Consider the following 20728-nt stretch of genomic DNA (forward strand, 5'->3'; position numbering starts at 1 on the left):
ATATAACAAAACACCACAGATGGAGTGGTTTAAACAATAGAAATTTATTTTCTCATAGTTCTGGAGGCTGGGAATTCCAAGATCAAGATGCCAGCTGATTTGGTTTCTGGAGAGAGCTCTCTTTCTAGTTTGCACGGGGCTAACATGTCACTGTGTGCTCAAATAACCTCTTCTTTGTGAAGTCTCCCTCTGTTCATCTTTTAAGGCCACCAATCCTATTGGATCAGGGTCTCACCCATATAACCTCATTTAACCTTAATGATCCCCTTAAAGCCCTATCTCCAGAGAGAGTCACATTGGGAGTTAGGGCTTAAAGTTCACTGAGACCTATTTCATGTGTTGAAATATGAATTTTGTGGGGAATACAATGCAGTTCACAGCAACACCTAACCTCAGCACAGTCATAACAACACCCTGTGCACAGCTCCATCATTTCATTTTCTACATTGAAATATGACACTCTATTAAAATGGTGAAGGATCAAGAGCATAAACAGCTGATTATATTTGAAAACAGACTTGAAAAAATTATGAATTTAAAAACAAAAACATTTAGTCTAATTTATATTATCTTACAACCAACAACTGTGCCATTTTCTGTGCTTCTCTTGTTAATGGATCAACAATAGCAATGACATTGAAGAACATATCATTCTCTTGAGGATTCGTCTTTATAACACTAAGAAAATAGAAAATAAGATGAAAGATGACGTGTTAAGTTTATACAAACAACTAATCATGATCTTAGCTATATAATTCTTATAAATTGTTTTCTTTCTCACTAAAATTGTAAAATACTGGTTATTTCACACAATGCTTGCAAATCTGAAAATCTGTTTTCAACAAATTACAAAACTGAAAAGAATGAGAGAAAATGAAGTAAGGTTTTATGAATGAAATGATTTTTTAAAAGCCTTTCAAAGAATGATCCCATTAGTGTAAAAACTCTGATAATTTTAGGCCCTCAACATTCTCATGGATTGTACAATTTAAAAAATAAAGCTAAGATGCTTTTGTGTTAGTGGAATATATTTCTTTAGATTTGAGAATAAAATTAACTATTCATACTTTATTAAATTTAGTATTTCAAAAAATCAATATACTATAACAGGTAAGTTCAGGAACAAAAATATCCAAATTAATCATACTTTATTTTGATCCCAGTCTTCCTCTCCTCACCTCATTCCCTCTGTCCTATCCGTTTTTATCTTTCACCGATAAAAGTTCTAAATTAGAAGATGGACTAGTTTTTTAAAGGGAAATGAGAAAATGATTAAAAGTACAGAACAGGCCAGAGGGAGACAGTCAATTCTACATTTAATATAATTAAAAGTTAATCATGTATATTTGATTAAAAGCAGAGAATATGTTACTGAATTACTGTTTTAACACTATAATCATGTAGGAAATATTTTTCTCAGATGTAGGATGAATTAATTATACATTTTACATATTACAAAGGAAAAAGGTTACCAAATCAAGAGGTACATGTGTAGTTACAGGAATATTAGTTTCTTTGGTAGGAAAAGGCTTCTGCAGTGAGGGGATTAATTGCTCAGCAATTTTTAAAAAGCTAATATAAACACTTACTTCAAATATGGGTCATCTAAATAGAAAACTGCAAGACATTTTATTTTCTAGGCAGTTGACGATTTAATTATCTTAAAATAAGAGGGGCATAGTCAGACAACAGACCTTAATGGATAATTATTGCTAGACCTAAGAGCCACAAATCAGACGTTCTGCTATTAAAGTGACTCTTGACAATTGTTGCTTCCTGTAGTTACCTTGGTGAACACTTTACAAATTACTACCCTACTTTGTAACACCACTCAAAACTGGTCATTTTATGTATGCTGTATGAGATGTAATTATGGTTTCAGCATGCACCTGTTTACTGCTGCTTTTTTCTCCCAGACTGCTAATTCTATGAAGTTGTATGAAGCAGAATTCCATAGTCCCCACCATCTGATTATACATGTACAAGACAGTTCTGAGTAGAATCCTGAGCCCACTAGTAGATAGTACACTGACTAACCCAAGAATAGAACAGAACATCCTATTTCTCATGCAATATTAACAACAAGATGCTAACTACCACCTATTTAAGGTAACAGATTTGTACTCAATTGCCAAAAAACTATTGATACACTTCATGTCATTAGCCAGAAGAATACTGTCAAGCACAGTGACAGTTAATTAATTATTAAAGTCCATGTCAGAAAAAAAAGGGTGAAGAACTGCTTAGGTATACACAGTTAATCAACTCTTACAGATATATTGAACACATTTCAAACAGGCCGTTGCAATAGAAAACTCTGAGTTGAATTTTGTTATGATACTGTTAACCTATCTATAAAATAGGTCAAGTAATCTATTTTAAGAATATTGAAAACACTGTTCATTATATAGCATCCTCTTTATAAAGGCTCCCGGGAGAAATTCCTCTGTCTTCCCTCTTCTAAGAATAATTACACTTCATCTGAACATCTAGTTTGTTTTCCTCTCATGAACTTGGGAACTGTATAAACTGGAAAACTTAGAGCCAAATTCATGGTATGCTCATGACAGGAGGGTCATTATTGCCGCAGCCTGCAAGGCTTCCTTCAAGACCTCATAGTTTCTCACACAACTTACATTCAATGTTGTAAGTTCCTGGGATGATGGGGTGAGTAGTTAGGATTGCTATTTTTGCCTTTGTCTAAGATGTTAGAAGAATGTCAAATCCACAGAGTCTAAATGGAAGGGAATAGGCTAATATAGAGATCTTTCAGGGCTGGGGAAAAAATATAATTGTTTTTTCTCATTTTTCACTTTATTCCAGATTTCAATATACTCCTACTCTTTCTCCTTTTGCAAACCTTCTAATTTAAGTTACCCTGTCAAATTTAAATTTTCTTATAAGCCAATTTAAATTTTAAAAGTTGGAATTAAGATCAAACATATCAATACAGAAATAACGGATTTATAACAAGTGTTTTAACATATTTAATTATAAAATGACTCCCTATAGACATAGAAGCAGAATGGCAAAGATATAATACTGTGTTTAAATATATATATACATGTATACACACACATCTCTCTAAAAAGCTGTGAATAAATATTTTTATGTGATTTTAGAAGTAAATGCATATGCTCATGAAATATACAGATATAACTATGGAAGTAATACTGATAATTCATAAATTCAAATGTAAAGTGACCTGAAGTATTTGCCCATCACTGTGGCATACTGTATTATCCTAATTATCAATTTCCAAAGGTTCACTGACATTTTCTAAAATTCAATAACAGAGTGTGACTTTAATGTAGAAATTTACATATAAATTTAACCGTATTTATATTATTATCTCCCTTGATAGGAAAGAATGCTCTTTGACAGACAAAAAATGGTATTTCTAGAGAAAATTACTAAAGGTGATAACTGTAAGACACTTGAGTGAGCTCAGGGAATCTTCAGTAGTATTTTTTTAAAAAGCAGTTTAGCTACTTTTACAATTAACGAGGCACTCTCATAGAGAATATGGGCATAGAAATCACATATGATAGTGATTAAACAGCCTTTTATTTCCATCCTACCACAGGAGCCTGACAGAGTAAATCCTTGGACCCTTGGTCCACGCAGCAGCTTTATAATGTGTCAACTTGACCAGGCTAAATCATATTTTCCAGAATGTTTCTTGCTTGGGCGGGCAACAACAGAGATTCTCAGGAGATCTAGAGAACAGAGAGGCAGCAGCAGCAATTTTGCAGCTCACACACTTGCTGCTGATCTGCTGATTCACCTTGCTGGCCTGAGGCAGCAGCCGGGCCTACAACAGTTCAGCTTTGCCTTGACCCTCTCTTCACTCCTTTGAACTCTCGCGCATGCATGTGTGTTTAGCTTTGTGACAGAGGCCACCCTACATTTGATTAATCAGAACTCTTCAGTCACTTTACACATTGAAAATATAAAGATAATATTATTTATGACTATCTTGAGATACTGCAAAAATTACAAATGATCTTAAGTATGAAAGATATTAAAAATATGACAAATTATAACATGTTTAACTTACTTGAAATTTCGTACACTCTCTCTCCATATATATTACCCTTTATTTACTAGAATATATAACTAACTGGAATTTATCTTCCTAATACTGTCAAATACATTTATTCCCTAATAAATAACTTTTAATTCTACCTTAAATTTTACCATGTTATGAAAACAAATGGAAATAATTGCATGCATTAACAGAAAAATCACAAACAAATACGAATACATTCTTACCTGTGATTCTCCCTAAGAAATGTGACATCATATCGAGATGCACGCTTAGGCACAGAGGACATAAGGGCATCAACTTTCATAATAAAGTCACTCATGCTAGATAAACAAGACAAACAGTGTATGAGTTTTTTGGAAAGAGTTCCATATTTCATGTTACAATTAATGCTTCAAGAAAGGTTTTATATATCTGAACATGGTTAAATCTACCAAAGTAGACTGCAAAGGGAGACCTACGTATAATAGCATTTCTCTAAAACAGTCACAGCCTTCAACACAATAAACACCAATAATGGATATTTACACATGAAGCAAAAAGACAAATATGGGAACCATGCATACAATCTATAGGAAAATGGTTACCTCTTGGGGAGGGAGGAGACTGGGGTGGATGGGTAAGAAACAAGGAGAAAGACAGAGCCAAGGCAAAGAAAACATTAACATCTACAGTTTTGTGATGGTGAGTAAATGGATGCCTTTTATTATTTGCTTATATTCTTTATATATGTCTTTTATTATACCTTTACTTGTCTATATATTTGAAACATTTTCTAATCTTAAAAACATTAGACTCAAAATACCAAACCCAAAATGAATTGCTCTTAGAACTTATATACTCACTTATTTGCGTTGATTCCCATATTTTCAACAATGCCTTTAATTTTCTCTCCTAAATTACTAAATGTTATCTTTTCCAACAAGTAAAAATCTTCTGCATAAAAATCTTCATCTAAAGGTCCTAAGAACTTAAAATAAAAACAGTTATATTATCATATATCTTCTAGAAGATATCAGTTTAGGAAAAACATTTCCTCATCAAATAGATATTTCTTTATTAAGCAAAAATGAATTAGAGATTAAAGATATGGTAGCTATTAATCCTGCCATTTACTAAATACGCTAGGAAACAAGATATACTTTCTCACTTTGATATTACAAATAACATTTGTATAAACACCAAAATCAAAGTGACAATATAAAAAATTAGCAAATTATTTCCATTAGAAAGTTTTACTTTGAAACATAAATCATAAATCATGATTTGAAACATAAATCATAAATCGTGATTTGAAACATAAATCATGATGCTTCCAAATACCATTTCAATCTGAATTCAATTTTGAAAGCAATGGTCTATATTTTTAAAAATCTTTTAATTTCAATTTTCTTTCACCTTCATCTATAAATTGTACTCTACACTATATAGACATGAATTACTTTATAAGAAAGCCATAAAATAGCAAAACCCAAGAGAAAAATCACATAAAAATCACATACTTACTATAATAATACCAACCAGTCTTCTTTTAACTGATACTGTATAAATGGTTAGGAGCCTAGCAAGGTCACCTATATTAACTTTAAACCAGTAACTACAAAGTTAGAAGCTGCCAAATTGCCACATACCTAATTTCTCAGAATGGCTCTCCCATCACAACCACTACTGACTCTACTACCATGAGCACTTTCTGAGGAAATTAGTACATAACAATCATTCTAACACCACGTACACAAAACCCTACTGTAGACTGACATAATCCTATGTACAAAACAATTATATTTAATGATAATCAGAAAACACGTCAACCAGATTATTTTTTTCTTGGTAAAAAGACCAGAATGTAATGGCTGTAGCCAGATTTTCTCACTTCCCCTTCACCTGCTCCTACAGTTCATCTTTTCTAAAAATTACTGAAGCATAGTTCTTGAATCTTTCTATCCCATTTTCTCATATCAAAGGTGACTAACTGGGATTTTGGCATCTCAACTAAATAAATATCATGTTTCACCTTAAATATAAAACACGGGCTCTTAAAAACACAAAAATGGGCACTATAATACTAAAAGTACTCATATAAACATTTCATTGTCTTAAGACGTGATATAATTTTTAAAGCAACTTTGAAAGCACATTCAATGTTACATTTCTGAACAATGAATCAGCAGTCTTGGAAAACAGTTGAATCTTATCTATACTACCTCTAGCGACAGGGGCAGTTTTGTTAGTAACATTAGAATAAGGAAATAAAATCTTAAAAGTATTGTTTTAAGGGGTTAACTACATTGGCTATCTTTACTGATTAAATTTACCAGAAAACTGGCTGTATTTTGCTTACATTAAGCACAGCATCAAACAGGAGAAACCTAATGTTTCTGTGTCTTGGTTCTATTTAAAGCTGAAAATTTGTGGAATAAAGTAACTTAAATAGCATAAAATCACATAATGTCCAAGTTGGGTAAAAGAACAATAAACTTGAAAATTATGTTGCTTAAATCTTCTTCATAACATTTGAGAAATGTGATTTTTCAGTTACATAGAATAATTGCTGTAACAGAAATGCATTACTTCATTTGACAGGTCATGAAAATTGCAGAAAACTCTGTCAGATTTTCATCCACATACTGAGCTAAAAATGTCTCTCTACTCACAGAAGTTTGATCAACTAGTTTTGATTTTATGCTAACTTTTAGCTAGTGTAACACAAATTAAGTCTACAAATGCCCATTATTTTTCATGATGCCCTTCAAATATTGAGAGAAAATAGCAGTTAATATTTACTGAAAATTTACTCTGTGTTTGGGTTCCTTCTATGTGCTTTAAATATAGGAGCATATTTAATCACCCCAACAATCCTGTAAGACAGATTATTATCATTCTCATTGTCCAAATGAAGAAATCAGGTCTCACAGTGTAATGTAATTAATGGTGCAACTGGAATTTGAATCCAGATCTGACTATAAAACAAAAAAAAGACCCTGCTTTTGTTCCCTACTCCCTGCTACCCCATGTCTTTCAGCAAACTGTGAATATGTAGTGTAATACAAATAAATATTATTATAACAATGGCATTATTTGTGGCATTAATATTAAATATGTCAATTTTAAATTATTCAGTGTTTTTAAGAAACTGTGTGATCATCATTGTACCCTAGTTGTTGATCATTTATAAACAATTTTAACTTTTCATATGTTCCAATTCTAATGGAAACATTTGAACAGGCTCAGAATGAAGATTTATACTAAAATATCATACTTATTTCAAGCATTAAACTATCTGATTCCAAATTTTTATAACATCTGCCACATTGCTGTGATTATTATGCTTAACAGCATTACTTTCAGAGTGATAAGCTAAGTATTACATTATCGCTCATAAACCACAGACTTATTTTCCAATATACTTTTCTATTAAAACCACAGTTATACAAATAAAAGGATAATTGAAATTACATTTTTCCATTAGTCAACAGAAAAAATCAACATAATTTGACTTAATATCTATCTCCAGCCCCAATCCTTCCTCTGTACTACACTCATATTCAATCACCTTCTTAACAAGTCTTTTTGGAGGTCCAAACTGAATTCTCTTTCCTTCTTCTTATACTGCTCCTGACAACCTCACTCATCCTGCAGCCTTCCTCACCTTGATCCACAGTAACTCCACTCTGCCAGTAACTTAGTTCTCTCACATCTCACACCAAAGTCCCTGGACAATTCCTGTCCATTCTTCACATAAAATACATCCCATATCCACTTCTTACTACCACCACTAGAACCATTCTGGTCCAAGCCACCATCATCTCTCATCTGGACTACTGCATTATCTCCCAACTGGCTCCCTGACCCCCTATTGTATATTCCCAATGTAACAGCCTCTAGTGATCCAAATAAAACATAAGCTAGATGATGCCAATCTCCTGCCCAGAACTATGCACTTCCCAACTCATTCAGAGTAAAGTGGGAGTCCTTAAACTTCCTATAAAACCCAATATGATCTGGCCCCCAGCTACTTCTCTGGCTTCTCTCCTGCCTGCTCTCTTCCTACCTGCTATTCTTAGAATAGCAGACATGATTCACAGGATTCACAGACATGAACTCACCTCACGTCCTTTGCATTCACTGTACTCTGTCTAGAACAATCCTCTTCCAGATATTTGACATGGCTTCCTCCTTCACCTTCTTTGGTTCTTTGCCCATATGACACTGCTATGAATGTGCTATGGTTTGAATGTCTTTGTCCTCTCCAAAATTTATGTTAAAACTGAATCCCCAATGCAACAGTGTTGGGAGCTGGGGCCTAATGGGAGGTGTTTAGGTCATGAGGGCTGTGCCTCAAAATGGACTAATGCCACTATAAAAAGGCTTTCAGGAGTGGGTTTGCTCTCTCCTGCCATGTAGGAACATAGCACTCATCCCCTTTTTGCCCCACTGCCTTCTGCCGTATGAGGATGCAGCAAGAAAGCTCCCATCAGATGCCAGTGCCTTGATCTTGGACTTCCCAGCCTCCAGAAGTATGAGAGAATAAATTTCTGTTCTTTAATAGATTTCTGAGATTATATAGTCTCAGGTATTTTGTTACAGCAGCACAAAACAGATTAAGACAAAACGTGTCCCTCAAAACCCATGTGTTGAAACTTAGTGGCCAGTGCGATAGCACTGAGAGGTGTGGCCTTTGGGAGATGATTAAGCCACGAGGGCTCTGCCCTCATGAATGGAATTTGTATCCTTATAATAAAAGAGTTCAAGACTGAAGGGAGCACTCTGTTGCCCTTCTACTTTCCACCATGTAAAAACAGAGCAACAAGGAGCCATCCTGGAAGCAGAGAGCAGCCCTCACCAGACATCCATGGCAGCACGTCAGCCTTACATTTCCAAGCATCCAGAAGTATAAGAAATAAATTTATGTTCTTTATAAATTAGCCAGTCTGTGGCATATTTTTATAGCAGCATAAACATACTTAAGATAGATGCCTTATCAGTAAGGGTGCTGTTTGTTGTCTCTCTCTATCCATCAAAATATTAGCCCCATGAAAACGTAGTTGTTTACTGCTGTGCCTTCAGAATCTAGAAGAATGTTTGGTTCACAGTAGGTGTAAGATTAATATCTTAATATTTTTATCAATTTTAAGGAAAGTCAGGACAAAACATAGTTTTATGTTTATGAGAAATAAGTTGAACATAACTGTATCTAGTATTTGTTATCATTAATGTCAATAACACTATATGAATTATATCAAAATGACAAGACATAGGATAGCTTTTCCCTAGTATATAACTAAAAGGTAAGGCACTAGATAAAACAGGTGCCATTGTTTCCCTCTTTATCCCTTAAAATGCTTGACATGGTCAAAGACAGCCAAAAGCTTTAGAACTGTTTTTAAAAGCTGTATTTCCTCCCAAAGTAACTTTTAAAGTGAAAAAGCAATGCCATTTACAGAGCTCTACATATCTCACTACCAAAATTCACCAATACTTTTTACAATAAATGGCAGCTTTTGACATGTGTAAAATAGCACTGTACATAGATGAACCTGAATCTAATATGCAGGTGAACAGAATTCAAAAGTAAGTGAAAAACAAAACATTAAGAGTGCATTAGAACTTTGAAGATGATTGAGGGATATATAATTTGAAAATTCAAGCCACAGATACGTGAAAAACACTGCATTTGTTGATTTCTTAATAAACCTAAGCACCAGATTCAGTTTTTTACTTAAACAATTTGTATGAAATAAGACTATCATATTAAAAATATTAGTATATAGATATCATCCACTTATTTTGTATGTGTCTACAAAGACTGCAATCAGAAAAACATTTATATTAACAGAAAAATCATGATGTAAAATTATATATAGTAGGATTATAAGGATGTATTCTAAAAAACCAAAAATGGCTATCTATGTATGGTAGAAAAAAGGGCTGAAAGGAAAAACAATAAGCTATTAAGTTTTATTAGGGTGGTTGGAGAGTAAGAGATTTTCTTCCTACAGCCTTGTAAATATTTTATTAATAAATACTACATGGCAATTTATACTACTTGATACTTCAAAACTGAAAATAGTATCTAATGCCATTTAACATACACAACTGTAGGAACAAGAAGAAAGATGTCATAACCTACTTGCTACACCTACTACAACAGTGGTTCTAATGACAATGTTTTGAAGATGTGCATTAAGTTGTTCCTTCTAATACTTACATTAGAACAAAATAAAAGCAAGACACATAAAGAACATTCTTCCTTACCCACATCATCATTCTCATTAAATGGGGGAAAGAATGAAGGAATGGGAAGTGTGTCATGACCCCATTTTATTTATGCTGAGTTGTGTCTGGTGTCTTCAGCTCATGAACACCGTCCTCTGTGTGTGTCAGTCACATCAGGGGAATTGTGACAGAAAAAAGGCAGACCAGTGCACTGCAGTGTCACTGAGAAAAGAGAGCAATAGCTTTTTCTACTTACTCTCCCATTGCTGACAATACCCATTTCTCCAGGACGTAATTTAAGTACATCTTGACAGAACAACTGGTGAGTTCGAAAAATATTCACTCCAACAGTATTATATTTTTTCTCAAAAGCATTCTTATCCATCCCCTAAAGCAAAAGTTAAGACTGATGAAACTAATATGAGAACAGTAAATATATTAAATCATTTTGTTTAAAAAACTAATATTAGTATAAAATTTTAAATAATACTTTCAAAATCATTATTTGGTATAATTTTCTTTGAAAGAACATTTTTAAAAAAAGAATTCTGTTTTGACAAGTCATTTATAACATGCTTAAATCTTGTTACAAGTTGATACAGTTTGCTATTCATTCTTTGAGAATTTCAGGGAAACTACCAGACTAGTAAATTACTAGGGAACATCAATTTAAATAAAATTTGATATGAAGAAAATGAAATTAAATATTTATTAAATTCTGAACTCAGTACCTCTTATTTGGTACTATCAATTTAAAAAGTGTTTAAAATGGAAATACTCCTTTCTCCCCATTATACTAATCCCAGAAGACCAGTTTAGTAATAATATATTTAAATATGGAAATAATAAAAGTAATGCTTGGTCAAAGTAAAAAAATATATGGACATTCACAGAAAATAAACCACATACATGCTCATTGCACCTTCATACTAAGGTACATTTCTCTCTCTCAGTACTTCTCAAACTTTAATGTACATACCAATCACCTGGTATCTTATTAAAATGCAGAATATACTTCAGTAGAATCCAGGCCTTAAATTCTGAATTTCTAACAAGTTCCCAGATGCTTTCATGATGATGAAAATGTTTTCCTGCATTGTCCAATATGGCAGCCATGGCTTCATATGGTTATGCGGCTTTCAAAATGTGGCTACTATGACTGAGGAACTGAATTTAAAATCTTATTTAAGTATAAAATGGCCATATGTAGCCAGTGGCTGTGGTGTTGGACCATGTAGGCCCTGATCTTTACCTCCAAAATCCCCATTTCAATCATCCCCTTTCTGACCACAACCACATGACCATCACCATCCCTAGATCAACCATTACTCAAACTTTCAGTCCACAGACTCTACCATTTATTCACTGTCTATCATCCTTCCCATGGCGTAATTTCCTTTTAACCAAGTTCTATCTCAGGGTACTTTACTATAACCAAAACTTCTCCATGTTTAGCTCCCTTGAATGCTCCCTCTCAGTCATATTCACTGGTCCAAACCCCAGCCTTGGTTAAACACAACTCTGCTGAGTCTGCAACTGGATGAAAACAGTAAAATACAGTTGGAGAAAAATATACGACCAAGGCTGATCTCACTTTGAATTTATTGTCATTAATCTCAAGTGGACCCTCAGCAATGACCAGAAATCTTCCTTCACTAATGTATTTAATTTATTTTCTCACTCTCAGAATAATAGTAAAATATTCAACATTTCCTCTTTTTGTCCTCGACCCTTTAAAAGTACATACTGCCACTCTAATCCTTAGCTAATGACCTGACTTTTGGAAGCAAATCAATCAAAACCACTTATAAATATTTTGTCTGTCTTTCCTCCTACAATGTAAGCTCCACAAAGAACAGGGACAGGGACTCTATCTGCTTGTTCACAAGTTTATCTCCATTGTCTCATAAACGATCAATATGTATTTTTTGAATGAATAATGATTGTTTCTTCAAGAGGATCATCGTTGAAACCCCCCCCATAATGGACCCCTTCAGTGAAATACCTGAGATTTACGTAACGCTTTAACCCCCAATTCTTCACTTAAGTACATATCCTAACTAGAATGCCATCAACTTTAAGAATCATGAAGTAGTTAATGAAACATATGAAATCTGATTTACTAAATGCCTCTGTGCAGAGTCATATCATTTAATGTTTATCTTTTCCCATTTGAAAAGGAATGTTTATTATCTTCATTTGTTTAAATCTACCATTGTTTTTCAGTAACAATATCTCCAAATACACTCACACTTTTAAAATATGCAATACATACATATTTAATATTTCAAATAGCTACTGACCTCAATAAGGAATGTTTTAATTTTATCTCCAGAGTAAATAGCTGTAGCAATTTCTTCCTTTGCCAGTTGCCCAAGAAAGCTTCTCAAAAACATGTTCTTCTGTGTAAGAAAAGCTGCCAAAATTCCTCTAGAAATAGCTGTGTTCTCTTCATTTATTTTTGATGTAGGATTATAAATAATCCCCAACCGACTATGAACACTTGTTTTCTGCAAACATATTTATAGATTAAAAAGACCAGTATCATACATATCATTTTACAGGTGAATATATTTTCTTTCCCATCCAGTTTGTTCACTGTATCATGCACCATCTTTCACTATCAAAGCCCTCCCATGTTTACTGTACTAAATGTGATATACCACTGAAAAAGCCTAACAATCATTTTACTAACTCTAATTCCTTCAGATATTTGCATAATGATTCATTTGTAATGTAACATTATATTTAAGCTTTTTGTATGTGAAATAACACAAATAAAAAATACACAAAACAAAATGTAGAGCTCAGTGAATTAACCCATAAACCTACTATCCTGGTCACTGGCACTGCCAGCAACTCCAAAAAGATTCCGCAGATCTCTGTCAATTACCACACCCTCCCACTTTTCTAAAGACAACCACTCTCTTGTCATTTATGGTAATAACAACTTTGCTCTTCTTTATAGTTTATCCCCTAAACTTGCACTGCTAAACATTTAATCAATTTTAAATTTCATATAAATGGAGTCATGCAGTATTATTTTGTGTTCTTTCCCCACTCAATAATGTGAGATTTATCAATACTGTTTTCTGTAGCTGTAGTCAATTTTTAGTACTGTACAGAATTCCATCATATGAATATACAGTCTTTTATCTATTCTACTGTTGCTGGACATCTGAGTTTCTTCCAGTTTAGAGCTCTAAAAATAGGATATACATATCTTCCACTTCAGAAGATGCTAAATAGTTTTTCAAAGTAATATACATACTAGCAACAGATAACAAACAGTTCCATTACCTCACAGCCTAAGAAACACTTTGTATTGTCAGATTTTAATTTAAATCATTCTCGTACATATGTAAAGATATCTCATCAGGGTTTTAATTTTCTTTTCTCTTATCATTAACAATACTAAACATCCTTTGATATGTTCTTTGGCTTCTTTTATGACTTGCCTGTTCAATCTGCTTCCAGTATTTTTTGGATTATCTTTTTTGGCCCCTGACTTGGAGGAGTTGGATTTCTAAGACTTAAGGGCTTTTTTTGGTTATATGTGTAGAGATATGCTTCTCCCATTCTATGGCTTGTTTTGTAGTGTACTGATGATGTGTTATAATGGGAAGCAGTCCTTAATTTTAAAGTAGTTCCATTTATTGGTATTATACCTGATGGCTACTGTGTTTTGGGTCTCATTTTAGAAACCTTTCTCTACTCTAAAGTAAAAAAGATAATCTATATTATCTTTTTTTTATTATTAAACTTTAAGTTTTAGGGTACATGTGCACATTGTGCAGGTTAGTTACATATGTATACATGTGCCATGCTGGTGCACTGCACCCATTAACTCGTCATCTAGCATTAGGTATATCTCCTAATGCTATCCCTCCCCCCTCCCCCCCACCCCACAACAGTCCCCAGAGTGTGATGTTCCCCTTCCTGTGTCCATGTGATCTCATTGTTCAATTCCCACCTATGAGTGAGAATATGCGGTGTTTGGTTTTTTGTTCTTGCGATAGTTTACTGAGAATGATGTTTCCCAATTTCATCCATGTCCCTACAAAGGACATGAACTCATCATTTTTTATGGCTGCATAGAATTCCATGGTGTATATGTGCCACATTTTCTTAATCCAGTCTATCATTGTTGGACATTTCGGTTGGTTCCAAGTCTTTGCTACTGTGAACAATGCCGCAATAAACATATGTGTGCATGTGTCTTTATAGCACCATGATTTATAGTCCTTTGGGTATATACCCAGTAATGGGATGGCTGGGTCAAATGGTATTTCTAGTTCTAGATCCCTGAGGAATCGCCACACTGACTTCCACAATGGTTGAACTAGTTTACAGTCCCACCAACAGTGTAAAAGTGTTCCTATTTCTCCACATCCTCTCCAGCACCTGTTGTTTCCTGACTTTTTAATGATCGCCATTCTAACTGGTGTGAGATGGTATCTCAATGTGGTTTTGATTTGCATTTCTCTGATGGCCAGTGATGATGAGCATTTTTTCATGTGTTTTTTGGCTGCATAAATGTCTTCTTTTGAGAAGTGTCTGTTCATGTCCTTCGCCCACTTTGTGATGGGGTTGTTTGTTTTTTTCGTGTAAATTTGTTTGCATTCATTGTAGATTCTGGATATTAGCCCTTTGTCAGATGAGTAGGTTGTGGAAATTTTCTCCCATTTTGTAGGTTGCCTGTTCACTCTGATGGTAGTTTCTTTTGCTGTGCAGAAGCTCTTTAGTTTAATTAGATCCCATTTGTCAATTTTGGCTTTTGTTGCCATTGCTTTTGGTGTTTTAGACATGAAGTCCTTGCCCATGCCTATGTCCTGAATGGTAATGCCTAGGTTTTCTTGTAGGGTTTTTATGGTTTTAGGTCTAACGTTTAAGTCTTTAATCCATCTTCAATTGATTTTTGTATAAGGTGTAAGGAAGGGATCCAGTTTCAGCTTTCTACATATGGCTAGCCAGTTTTCCCAGCACCATTTATTAAATAGGGAATCCTTTCCCCATTGCTTGTTTTTCTCAGGTTTGTCAAAGATCAGATAGTTGTAGATATGCGGCGTTATTTCTGAGGGTTCTGTTCTGTTCCATTGATCTATATCTCTGTTTTGGTACCAGTACCATGCTGTTTTGGTTACTGTAGCCTTGTAGTATAGTTTGAAGTCAGATAGTGTGATGCCTCCAGCTTTGTTCTTTTGGCTTAGGATTGACTTGGTGATGCGGGCTCTTTTTTGGTTCCATATGAACTTTAAAGTATACATTATCTTTAAGAAGATTTATTGTTTTGCCTTTTATGTTTAGCTCTATAATCCATCTGGAATCAATTTTTGTGTATGACGTGAAAAGGGGGAAGTGTCAAAGATTACCCTTACTGTTCCATAAAGCCAACTTTGTTATAAATCAAGTGTTAATATATGCATGGCTCTACTTCTGGGTTCTCTATTCTTCTTCCATTGCTCTATTTTTCTATCCTTGTGCTGATACCAAACTGTTTTCAATTACGTAGTTTTATCAAAGATCTTGATATCCAGTAAAGCAATTATCACTTTTTATGCTTTAAGATTATTTTAGCTACTCTTGGTACTTTGAATTTCTGGATGAGTTTTTGAATCTGCTTGACAATTTCCACAAAAATTTCCAGTGTTCGATATTTTTCATACTATTGTAAACGGTATATTTATTTAAACTGCATTTCTCGTTTGTTGCAGCTCTTAGAAATATAATTAATTATTGGACATTGACTGGTATTAAACAACCTTAAACTATATAATTAATTCTAATAATTTATATGTGGCTATGTATGTATTTTCTGTGTAAACAACTTGGAATGGCAACTGGAAGATAAATCAATAAAGATTATACAATCTGGAGAACAGAATGTAAAAAGACTGAAAAAAATGAACAGTTTCTCAGAGAAACGTGGGACACCATTAAGCATGCCAACATATGCATTATAGAAGACCCAGGAAGACAAGGAAAAAGAAACATAGAAGATACTTTTAAAAACTACTGAAAAATTCCCAATTTTGATTAATAACATAGTTTACAAATTTAAGAAGCTCAATGTACTCCAATAAGGATAAATGTAAAGATATCCACAGCCAGACACACCAGTCAAAATGTTAAAAGCAAAAGCTAAAATCTTGAAAAGAAGAGAAATGCTTTTTTCACTGTATACAAAAGAATCTCAGTAACAATAAAGGCTAACTTCTTATCAGAAACAACAGAAGCCAGAAGGCAATCAGATGGGGGCGTTCCAAGATGGCCGAATAGGAACAGCTCCAGTCTGCAGCTCCCAGTGTGACCGATGCAGCAGATGGGTGATTCCTGCATTTCCAGCTCAGGTACCTGGTTCATCTCAATGGGACTGGTTGGAAAGTGGGTGCAGCCCAGGCAGGGCATCGCCTCACCTGGAAAGCACAAGGGGTGGGGGAATTTCCCTTTCCTAGCCAAGGGAAGGTGTGACAGACTACCTGGAAAAATGGGACACTTCTGCCCAAATACTGTGATTTTCCCAAGGTCTTAGCAACCAGCAGACAAGGTGATTCTCTCCCGTGCCCGACACGGCAGGTCCCACACCCACGGAGCCTTGCTCACTGCTAGCGCAGCTGTCTGAGATTGAACTGCAAGCTGGCAGCCTGGCTGGGGGAGGGGCGTCCACCATTGCTGAGGCTTGAGTACGTAAACAAAGCGGCTGGGAAGCTCGAACTAGGGGCAGCCCACCGCAGCTCAGCGAGGCCTACTGCCTCTAAACTCCACCTGTGTGGGCAGGGCTTAGCAGAACAAAAGGCAGCAGACAACTTCTGCAGACTTAAACGTCCTTGTCTGACAGCTCTGAAGAGAGCAATGCTTCTCCAAGCATGGTGTTTGAGCTCTGAGAATGGACAGACTGCCTCCTCAAGTGGGTCCCCATGTAGCCTAACTGGGAGACACCTCCCAACAGGGGCCGACAGACACCTCATATAGGCAGCTGCCCCTCTGGGACAAAGAGAAGGATCAGGCAGCAATATTTGCTGTTCTGCAGCCTCCGCTGGTGATACCCAGGCAAAAAGGATTTGCAGCATAACTCCAGGAAACTCCAACAGACTTGCAGCTGAGGGACCTGTTAGAAGGAAAACTAACAAACAGAAAGGAATAGCATCAACATCAACAAAAAGGTCATCTACACCAAAACCACATCTGTAGGTCACCAACATCAAAGACCAAAGGTAGATAACACCACAAAGATGGGGAGAAAGTACAACAGAAAAGCTGAAAATTCTAAAAATCAAAGGGCCTCTTCTCCTCCAAAGGATCGCAGCTCCTCGCCAGCAACAGAACAAAGCTGGACAGAGAATGACTTTGATGAGTTGACAGAAGTAGGCTTCAGAAGGTTGGTAATAACAAACTTCTCTGAGCTAAAGAAGGATATTCGAACCCATCTCAAGGAAGCTAAAAACCTAGAAAAAAGATAAGACAAATGGCTAACCATAATAAACAGTGTAGAGAAGACCTTAAATGACGTGATGGAGCTGAAAACCATGGCATGAGAACTTCGTGACACATGCACAAGCTTCAATAGCAGATTCAATCAAGTGGAAGAAAGGGTATCAGTGATTGAAGATCAAATTAATGAAATAAAGTGAGAAGACAAGCTTAGAGAAAAAAGACTAAAAAGAAACAAACAAAGCCTCCAAGAAATATGGAACTATGTGAAAAGACCAAATCTACGTATGACTGGTGTACCTGAAAGTGATGGGGAGAATGGAACCATGTTGGAAAACACTATTCAGGATATCATCCAGGAGAACTTCCCCAACCTAGCAAGGCAGGCCAATGTTCAAATTCAGGAAATACAGAGAACATCACAAAAATACTCCTCAAGAAGAACAACCCCAAGACACATAATCGTGAGATTCACCAAAGTTGAAATGAAGGAAAAACTGTTAAGGGCATTTCCAGTTCTAGATCCCTGAGGAATCGCCACACTGACTTCCACAATGGTTGAACTAGTTACAGTCCCACCAACAGTGTAAAAGTGTTCCTATTTCTCCACATCCTCTCCAGCACCTGTTGTTTCCTGACTTTTTAATGATCGCCATTCTAACTGGTGTGAGATGGTATCTCATTGTGGTTTTGATTTGCATTTCTCTGATGGCCAGTGATGATGAGCATTTTTTCATGTGTTTTTTGGCTGCATAAATGTCTTCTTTTGAGAAGTGTCTGTTCATGTCCTTTGCCCACTTTTTGATGGGGTTGTTTGTTTTTTTCTTGTAAATTTGTTTGAGTTCATTGTAGATTCTGGATATTAGCCCTTTGTCAGATGAGTAGGTTGCGAAAATTTTCTCCCATTTTGTAGGTTGCCTGTTCACTCTGATGGTAGTTTCTTTTGCTGTGCAGAAGCTCTTTAGTTTAATTAGATCCCATTTGTCAATTTTGGCTTTTGTTGCCATTGCTTTTGGTGTTTTAGACATGAAGTCCTTGCCCATGCCTATGTCCTGAATGGTAATGCCTAGGTTTTCTTGTAGGGTTTTTATGGTTTTAGGTCTAACGTTTAAGTCTTTAATCCACCTTGAATTGATTTTTGTATAAGGTGTAAGGAAGGGATCCAGTTTCAGCTTTCTACATATGGCTAGCCAGTTTTCCCAGCACCATTTATTAAATAGGGAATCCTTTCCCCATTGCTTGTCATTTGACCCAGCCATCCCATTACTGGGTATATACCCAAAGGACTATGAATCATGCTGCTATAAAGACACACGCACACGTATGTTTATTGCGGCATTATTCACAATAGCAAAGACTTGGAACCAACCCAAATGTCCAACAATGATAGACTGGATTAAGAAAATGTGGCACGTATACACCATGGAATACTATGCAGCCATAAAAAATGATGAGTTCATGTCCTTTGTAGGGACATGGATGAAACTGGAAATCATCATTCTCAGTAAACTATCGCAAGAACAAAAAAACAAACACCGCATATTCTCACTCATAGGTGGGAATTGAACAATGAGATCACGTGGACACAGGAAGGGGAATATCACATACTGGGGACTGTTGTGGGGTGGGGGGAGGGGGGAGGGATAGCATCGGGAGATATACCTAATGCTAGATGACGAGTTAGTGGGTGCAGCGCACCAGCATGGCACATGTATACATATGTAACTAACCGGCACAATGTGCACATGTACCCTAAAACTTGAAGTATAATAATAATAATAATAATAATAATAATAATAAAAAAGATTCCTGCCCACTAAAAAAAAAAAAAAAAAAAAACTGTTAAGGGCAACCAGAGAGAAAGGTCGAGTTATCGACAAAGGGAAGCCCATCAGACTAACAACGGACCTCTCAGCAGAAACCCTACAAGCCAGAAGAGAGTGGGGGACAATATTCAACATTCTTAAAGGAAAGAATTTTCAGCCCAGAATTTAATATCCAGCCAAACTAATCTTCATAAGTGAAGGAGAAATAAAATCCTTTACAGACAAGCAAATGCTGAGAGATTCTGTCACCACGAGGCCTGCCTTACAAGAGCTCCTGAAGGAAGCACTAAACATGGAAAGGAACAACCAGTACCAGCCACTGCAAAAACATGCCAAACTGTAAAGACCATTGGTGCTATGAAGAAACTGCATCAATTAACAGGCAAAATAACCAGCAAACATCATAATAACGGGATCAAATTTACACATAACAATATTAACCTGAAATTTAAATGGGCTAAAAGCCCCAATTAAAAGACAGAGACTGGAAATTGGATAAAGAGTCAAGACCCATCAGTGTGCTGTCTTCAGGAGACCCATCTCATGTGCAGAGACACACATAGGCTCAAATAAAGGGATGGAGGAAGATCTACCAAGCAAATGGAAAGAAAAAAGAGCAGGGGTTGCAATCCTAGTCTCTGATAAAACAGACTTTAAACCAACAAAGATTAAAAGAGACAAAAAAGGCCAGTACATAATGGTAAACGGATGAATTGAACAAGAATAGCTAACTATCCCAAATATATATGCACCCAATACAGGAGCACCCAGATTCATAAAGCAAGTCCTCAGAGACCTACAAAGAGACTTAGACTCCCACACAATAATAATGGGAGACTTTAACACCCCACTGTCAATATTAGACAGATCAACAAGACAAATGTTAACAAGGATATCCAGGACCTGAACTCAGCTCTGCACCAAGCAGACCTAACAGACATCTACAGAACTCTCCACCCCAAATCAACAGAATATACATTCTTTGGAGCACCGCATTGCACCTATTCTAAAATCGACTACATAACTGGAAGTAAACCACTCTTCAGCAAATATAAAAGAACACAAATCACAACAAACTGTCTCTCAGATCACAGTGCAATCAAATTAGAACTCAGGATTAAGAAACTCACTCAAAACCACTCAACTACATGAAAACTGAACAACTTGATCCTGAATGACTACTGGATAAATAACGAATGAAGGCAGA

At 35.6% G+C, this 20728-nt stretch overlaps 1 protein-coding gene across 16 annotated transcripts in view, besides 1 other annotated feature; it reads right to left on the bottom strand.

Annotated features, from left to right (window-relative positions):
• The window catches only part of UGGT2 (UDP-glucose glycoprotein glucosyltransferase 2), a 251822-nt gene that overhangs the window by 88707 nt on the left and 142387 nt on the right, over window positions 1-20728 (bottom strand). For 13 of the 16 annotated variants that reach the window (XR_931617.2, NM_020121.4, XM_011521097.2 and 10 more), the window contains 5 exons: window positions 12568-12774; window positions 10521-10652; window positions 4894-5018; window positions 4276-4371; window positions 576-678 (listed from right to left, as the gene is read on the bottom strand). Coding sequence is in view for 15 of the 16 variants with exons in the window: in NM_020121.4 (NP_064506.3) it covers window positions 576-678; window positions 4276-4371; window positions 4894-5018; window positions 10521-10652; window positions 12568-12774 (663 nt within the window). In the remaining variant the exon portion in view is untranslated. The remainder of the gene's footprint in view (window positions 1-575; window positions 679-4275; window positions 4372-4893; window positions 5019-10520; window positions 10653-12567; window positions 12775-20728) is intronic. The other 3 variants (XM_047430471.1, XM_017020662.2, XM_011521096.2) reach the window with 1 other exon arrangement.
• Window positions 16437-16938: an enhancer, noted in NCBI's record as "H3K4me1 hESC enhancer chr13:96558977-96559478 (GRCh37/hg19 assembly coordinates)". NCBI's record gives its function as "activates a minimal SCP1, AML or CMV promoter by ChIP-STARR-seq in primed H9 embryonic stem cells {active_cell/tissue: H9 hESC(primed)}" and the evidence as "EXISTENCE:reporter gene assay evidence [ECO:0000049][PMID:30033119]".

This window comes from Homo sapiens, chromosome 13 (assembly GCF_000001405.40).
Source record: "Homo sapiens chromosome 13, GRCh38.p14 Primary Assembly".
NCBI lineage: Eukaryota > Metazoa > Chordata > Mammalia > Primates > Hominidae > Homo > Homo sapiens.